The sequence below is a fragment of the Homo sapiens genome, chromosome 1 (assembly GCF_000001405.40).
Source record: "Homo sapiens chromosome 1, GRCh38.p14 Primary Assembly".
Taxonomy (NCBI): Eukaryota; Metazoa; Chordata; class Mammalia; order Primates; family Hominidae; genus Homo; species Homo sapiens.
Genome location: NC_000001.11, coordinates 163,399,423 through 163,407,249, shown reverse-complemented (window position 1 = coordinate 163,407,249; position 7,827 = coordinate 163,399,423). Strand labels below are relative to the sequence as shown.

General features: G+C 42.5%; 1 annotated feature.

The window, feature by feature from the left end:
- Window positions 6,836-7,380: an enhancer, noted in NCBI's record as "OCT4-NANOG-H3K27ac hESC enhancer chr1:163369660-163370204 (GRCh37/hg19 assembly coordinates)". NCBI's record gives its function as "activates a minimal SCP1, AML or CMV promoter by ChIP-STARR-seq in naive and primed H9 embryonic stem cells {active_cell/tissue: H9 hESC(naive and primed)}" and the evidence as "EXISTENCE:reporter gene assay evidence [ECO:0000049][PMID:30033119]".

Genomic DNA, 7,827 nt, shown 5'->3' with positions numbered 1-7,827 from the left:
TAAAAACAGTGTCTATCCCAGGTATAATGTTCTTGGTGTAGCCCTGGCCCAGGGACATAGCATCTCATTTCTCAGAGTTACTCTCTGAGGGATCAACACAATAGACTTTGCTACACGCCCCCCTTCCCCCTCTTCTGCCCCCAACCCCGGCCTGCACACCCAGCTTCCACAGGGAGGCCTTGCACAGGCAGAGCCCATCCTCCACGGCTGCTTTTGTGAAGGTGCTGAAGGGACGGCTGCTTGGCCCAGGGAGTATCCACATGGCTCCCGATGATAACACCTCAAGCAGGAGAAAAGAAAAACGGTTTTCCGCTGATGGCAGTGTGTACAGCTGGCTGAGCTGTTTGGCACAGTCTCTGCAGCTGTGTATTCATGATGCTATATTTAAGCCAAAAAAAAAAAATCTCTGAATTATATAATTAATACAAGCTGAAATTTGGTTGACCATTTAAGTGTTTGTTTGCTTCTCCCTGCCAAATATCAGCTTCATGAGGGAGAAAGTTGGGCCTCAGGCAGGAGTCCCCCTAAAAGTTTAAACCCCCACTGTGCAGAAAAACAGGCACAGATTCTGCCACATGTGGTGCCACTTGGCTGAGTTTCCCAATGGTTCAAATGATTTCTATGGCAAACCCTCCTGGTGGATGGAAGGAAAACAGAAGCACTGTTTCTCATTCTAGGCAGGAAGCAGGTGATACAGGGCAAGCACAGGAGTGAAGAGGCTGGAAGAGTGGACCTATTCAGACCTATTTCAGGTAAGGTGGATTTCGATGAGAAATGGAGATCACCATGCTGATGCTGTCGGAAAACTACACCTACCCAACACAGAGTGCCTCCCGCTGCTCCAAGGCCCATACTACCTACAGCTTAATCTGAGCCAGACGTGCCCACAAACACGTTCTTCCTCCTTCCTTGGGGCCCAGTATTTGTCCGTGGAGGACATACTTATGGATAAAGGCTTTAGACTGCCCCTGTGAAGAAAGCTGGGAGTCTAATTAGACTTTTTTCCCTGCTTAGGTTTTAAAGGCACAGTGAGGTGAACCCGGGAAATTTGAACCCAAGTTTGGCAGAAATTAAGTCAGTCTGGTGCTTCCAACTAACTCCTTTCTCTTAAAAGTCATGGTAAGACTGAACAGAATTAAGATGGTTCTGGGCCAGGGGCCTCAGGAATGTCATTGCTTTCTAAAATCAGAGACACTCACACCCTGAGGTCCTGAGAGAAAGTGCACTATGGATCAGTGGGTTTGGCTCCTAAAATCAATGCTATGAAGGCTGGGTGGTCAGTCAAGCAGCACTTCATCCTGAGTCCCCTACCATGAATAGTTTCAGACAGAAACAGGCCATGAGGTCTGATGTTTATCCTACTCCTTCTAATTCCCAAGTCCTGGTGTCTGATTTCTCCACTCTCCAGACCACTGAAACGAACAATGGAGCAAGCGAGAGGTCCCTACAACCAGGTCTACTCTGTGTGAAAGTGGGATGGTGGGAGAGAAAGGCAGAGAAACAAAAAAGGAAAATGAACTTCTAATACACGATGACTCCACAAATATAGACTAACTGGGGAGCCAGTCAATCAGGCCTCCTTCCACTCTGCTGTCCAATTATACTATTGCTTTAGTTTTTTAAAGCTTTCCAAAAACTTTTTAGATTGTTAGAACTAGAAAAGAGCTCAGAGACAAATTGGTGGAACTAATCAATTTTACAGAAGTAGACAATCAAAACTACTGTGGGACTTGCCCAAGGTCACACAGCTCGTCAGTGGTAGAGCAGCAGCTACAGTCTGGGTGTTCTTCGGCTGCCCAGCCCTTTCTACAGTCCTGTCCCACCTGTATGACACTGTTTAGTGGTTCTTTCATAAATTTGATTGTTTTTATTTCCCCCTCAATAATGAGGCATTTACTGTATATATTTTTTAAAAGTCTTAAATATCTATGAGTGGTAAACAGCTTTACACAAGTCTAATACTGTGGAGTCACTGTGAGTGCACTCTGGAATAAATGATCAGATTTTGGCAAATGAGTTTTCTTCAGACTAAATATACAAATTCTCTGCTGGAGCTCAAATTGGGACATGTATTAATTAGCAAACGGTGCACTTTTATCATGGATGTGTCCCTAGGCTCTTCAAATACTTCTCTATAAACAAAAATCCATTTTACTATTACATATTATCATTTTGAAGTTCAAAAACAAATTAGGTCGTGGTTTTGAAATAGACCTTATGGGGAGTCTGATTTCTCAGCAGGTGTATGGGTTAGCAGTGTTTAGCAGAAAGGACAAAGGGAGTGGAGGCCTGGTGGGAAATGTGTGTCCCCAAAGCCTGCAGTTCTAGAAGGTTTCACTCAGCTGTTAATTGCAAACCAAACAAATCCTCATCTTGTTCCAATTGAGGGGCTAAGTGGGTAAAATTTACATGTAAGGAAAGAGAAAAGGGGGCCACCCAGCAGGAGTCCTTTTCTCTGCCCAGAATCCAGATAACCCTGAGTGATATTACACTTTTTTATTACAAATCAGAGCCTCAAGGACATCAGGAATGTTGGGTATAACACAGAACTGATCTCTTTCAAACTGAGAGGTTTTGACAGAATTGGTTGGTGAATATGTTAGGCAAAGAAAATGATGTGTGGATTGCTGAGATCTGTGATATTTTTCTAAAAGATTTTCCTGAATTTTCAGTCTTTAAATGGGCAAGCCCTCCTTTTGGTTGACTGATCTGGTTACTTTAGCAGAGTTTTTCCCAGAGGATGAAGGTCCCTGTAATGATCCCTAGTAGGGGCAAGGGCAGGGGAAAATCACCCTTACACCTTCCACTCTCCCCAGCCTTCTCTCAAACATTCAGCCAAGTCCAGGAAAATAATGACATCAAGACCTTTGAAGGGGAAAGAGTCCAACACACACTAGGCTCTCGAAGAGTAGAAAATTAAGATGAAAAAATAATCATACCAAGCCAGTCTCAGCAAATAATATAATGATTTATTTGTTCACTGAGCAAATATTTACAAGCATTTACTATGTGTTAGGCAATCATAAACACAAAAATAGTCCGGGTGCGGTGGCTCACGCCTGTAATCCCAGCACTTTGGGAGGCCGAGGCAGGTGCATCACAAGGTCAGGAGATCGAGACCATCCTGCCTAACACGGTGAAACCCTGTCTCTACTAAAAATACAAAAAATTAGCCGGGCGTCGTGGCGAGCACCTGTAGTCCCAGCTACTCGGGAGGCTGAGGCAGGAGAATGGCGTGAACCCGGGAGAGGAGCTTGCAGTGAGCCGAGATCGCGCCACTGCACTCCAGCCTGGGCAACAGAGCGAGACTCTGTCTAAAACAACAACAACAACAACAACAACAAAAACCACATCTGTATTAGTCAGAGAAGGCTGGAACTCTTTGTGACAACCACCAAACTCCAAACTTTCAGCAGCTCAGCATGAATATTTCAAACCCAATGCTCAAGAGGCAGCCTTCCATTCCACAGCTACACTATCTGGAACATGTGACCTCCAAATTATTAAAGAAGGGCACGAAAGAGTTGAAGGATGAATGGGATGCTTTATGGGTCAGGCTCAGAAGAGAGTTACATGACTTCCGACTGCAGCCCACTGGACAAAACTCAAGCACCTCCTCGAAACCAAGAAATATAGGGAGCAATGGATATTTGTTGAGCACAAATAGTCTTTGGCACATATAATTAGATTTTGACACATTTCACATGGTAGAACCCCCATCTTCTCCAAGAATAAACCTATGAAGTGATTAACCACTAGACCCCTCCCCTTCCTAACAGTGGTGAAAAGGAGAGGTGACTTTCATCAACCTACTTCCTAGTCCACCCAGTCTCCTGAGTGTAGACACAATTTGAGGCACTCCTTCTGACTCACATACACCTCCTGCCAGTCCACACCTATCAACCCATTGATTTTTGTTTTTCTATCATGATTCAGGTTCTTCACAAGTCTCACTCTGACCCATAAGTCTCTCTCCAGTCACCGACTGGACCTACAGATTCTTCATATAACATATGTATATTCTTCACATACCATGCATATATTGTTCATGTAGCATGCATATATTCTTCACATACTATGCATATATTCTTCATATAGCATGCATATGTTCTTCACATAGCATGTGTATATTCTTCACATAGCATGCATATATTCTTCACATAGCATGCATGTATTCTTCACATAGCATGCATGTATTCTTTGCATAGCATGCATATGTTCTTCATATAGCATGTGTATATTCTTCACATAGCACACATGTATTCTTCATATGGCATGCATATATTCTTCACATACCATGCATATATTCTTCATATAGAATTTGTATATTCTTCATATAGCTTGTGTATATTCTTCACATTGCATGTGTATATTCTTCATATAGCATGTGTATATTCTTCATATAGCATGCATATATTCTTCACACACCATGCATATATTCTTCACATACCATGCATATATTCTTCATATAGCATGCATTCACTGAGCCTGAATTAGATGTTTTTTGAGAAATAGGAGCAGATGATTTACTTTTCCATCTCATACCTCAACAGGTTCTTTCCTGCCTTTGCTCACACTGTAGCCCCAGACTGGCATGGCCCCTCCTCTTCATGTATCTCAAGTCTTTCTAAGGCCTCACTAAAATCCTACCACCTGCCTTAAGTTTATAAATCCTCAAACACACTAACTTACATAATCATTTTAAAAAAAAATTCAGACTTCTTTTCATCAAAAAGATTATAAGCTCCTTAAAGAAAGGAGCAAGCCAGGATTCATCTCATAATTCCCCCAGCACCTTCTTATGGTGGTAGGTGCAGAAGTAGCTCTCCTGAGCCTCACAAGGGCACTGAACCACTTCCTTTATGTCACTCTGGAGAGCAAGTTGTGCCCATAGTTTTGCCCTGGAACCTGAATAGCCACAGAATACTCCCAGAAAGGACTGGAATGAAGAAGAAGAAAAAAAAAAAAACGGCAGGCAATAAGCTGAAAGAAGATAACATGAAAAAATGCACGTCTGGGCTTTCAAACATGTTAGAACTGGGTTCAAATTCTGATGTTTCTACAGTTGAGTGATCATAGGCAAATTACCTCTATTTTCTGAGTCTACATTGCCCACTGAAAACATACATTTGGAACATTTGCCTTTCAGTGGTGCTCTGAAGACTAATGGTGACATGTATATGAAGTTTCCAGTAATTTTCTAAGTGAACCCTTAAAAATGCTCATACTTGCCTGGCGCAGTGGCTCATGCCTGTAATCCCAGAACTTTGGGAGGCGGAGGCGGGCAGATCATCTGAGGTCAGGAGCTCCAGACCATCCTGGCCAACATGGTGAAAGCCCGTCTCTACTAAAAATACCAAAATTAGCTGCGTGTGGTGGCAGGCGCCTGTAATCCCAGCTACTCAGGAGGCTGCGGCACAAAAATAACTTGAACCCAGGAGGCGAGGTTGCAGTGACCCAAGATCACGCCACTACACTCCAGCCTGGGCGATAGAGTGAGACTCAGTCACACACACACACACACACACACACACACACACACAAAACAGTGATATGGACCTGAAATTTTTTCTCCTATTCTCTATCTACTCTCAACCTGATGGTTCCTGCTTGCTTCTTTTTAAGTCTCTCTAACTCTACTTATGGTGAACATCAATCCTATCGAGTTTTTGAATTCCCTAGGAAAATGCCTCTAAGTTATTTATGCAAAATACAATGCAACCATGCTTCAGAGAGTTTTCTGGCCAGAATACTGTGAAGGTCACTGGCTCATCAATGGCTGCTTTTGGTTTAAATCCGGATCTCTGTCCAATCAACAGTGGCACTCATGTCAAGGTTACATAGTCCAAAACTCAGTGACTCATGTGTAAGGAATGGCCGCACCTTTTTTTAAAAAAATAAAGTGATTATGTAACTAGCAGATACTGAGTTGTTGGTCTCAATAAATATTCACTGAAAAAATAAATGTGGTGATCTTTCACTGAGCCCACCATCATTGTTGGAATACCTCAGGCACAAATAACTAGCAGAGCAGTACTTCCCCGGGCAGATAAATCACCTGTGGATCTTATTAAAACTGCAGATTCTAATCCATCAGGTCTGGAGTGGGACCTGAACTTCTAACAAGTTCCCAGGAGATGCCATTGACAGTGCATTGACCATTCCTTGAGTGGTAAGGTAGAAGAGAACAGAATCAGTGACTCTTTCCAGCATCCTTCCTGCCTAAGTGGTATATTAATGTTATTGGCAAATTCTTTTTAGGAAGATTGAGAGAATAGAGAACCAAATTAAATTTTGTTTATAGTTCAAGTAGCAAAATTGAAAGCGGGTAAGACAGGACATTGGGTTACTTGTCTTTCCCAGTACCCGTTGTGTAACTGCACTCTTCATCTCTCTACGTCTATGAGTAATGGAAAGTACCTCTTCTTAGTGACTTATATGTCCATTATCTAGTATCATGTTTGCCACATACATAGTAGATTCTCAACAAATATCTATTATACAGAAAAGAATTTCTCTTTGGTATGCCCTAAAATGCTTAGTGCACACAGCAGGCACTCAATAAAAGCTTGTTGAATGAATTAATAAAGATGGAAAGAAGTAATGACTGTGGTCCTGTGTAGAGTAAAATATTATTTCTCATCAAAATCATCTGAGCAAGATCATCTTTTAGGGCTAGATGGGCACTGAGGGAAATAACACTGATGTTAGACCAAGCCCTTGGAAATGAGTAGGCCTCAGCTGACAATCCAAATTGGTTTGGGTACCATCTGGTGCTATGATTGAAGCATTTTTCATGCTCACTAATAAAGAACTCAGGCTGGCTTTAGGGAGGACTGGGTCAAACCAGTGACTTCTATGGGCTGAGCAGGGAACCAGCCCAGAGTGGCTGCAGAGGGAGCTGCTTATTTGGGCTGCCATTTCCTCCTACCCATCGCCAGGAACGTGCCCTATAAGGAAACAAATGCAAACTCCAGGGAAGAGCTCCAGGGCCTAGGCTTTGTGAGAAGCCCACCAGGGAGTACCTGACTGCAGGCTGGAGCATATGAAAAGCTCCTTTCTCTGCACTTGGCTCATAAAAGAAGCCCCATGGCTTGAATCCACCAACTCCCTGCGATCTCCGACAGCAGAGCTGCTCCGAGACCTGCAGACAGGCAGGGGGACAAACGACGGGGGAAATGCTGCCAATACTGGGAACAAAAGCTTGCTCACATTGCTGGAGTTACACGGGATGTAGCCTAGGAGTTTTGCTTTCATGGACGAGAAAAAAAAAGAATATTTAGAGTCTGGGATGGAGAGGACAGAACAGAATTATTATTCTTTGTAAGGAAAACCAGGGAAAACTAGAGGACATAACCAAAACAGAAGCGTTTTTATAGAGCCAACAAATTTCATTTAACAAAATGGTTGAAATTATGTGTTCTTTCTTCAATCTTCATGTCCCCTTCTTTAAAATTAGATCCCCAGTGAAATTCTCAGAGAAAAACCATGGGAGCTTCTTTTACTCTCTCTTGTTTCTTTTGCTTTATTTCTTCTTTTCTCTCTTCTGCTCTGTCTGGAATGGGCTGAGGAATGGCAGTGCCTGTTGACAAAGAGATTGATAAGGATGAGACTTGAAAATCATTCTCAAAATGTTACTAGTAGCCCAAATTGAATTTAGAGAAGTGGCCTTAACTACTAATAACTAATAATAAATAGCAGTTTTTAACCACTTACAATGTGCCAGAAACTATTCATAGCACTTTACCCACACTAACTCAATTGTACAATCTACTCCTAGGATGGTATGGTATCCTAGGTGGGTACCATAATAATCAATGACGTTTT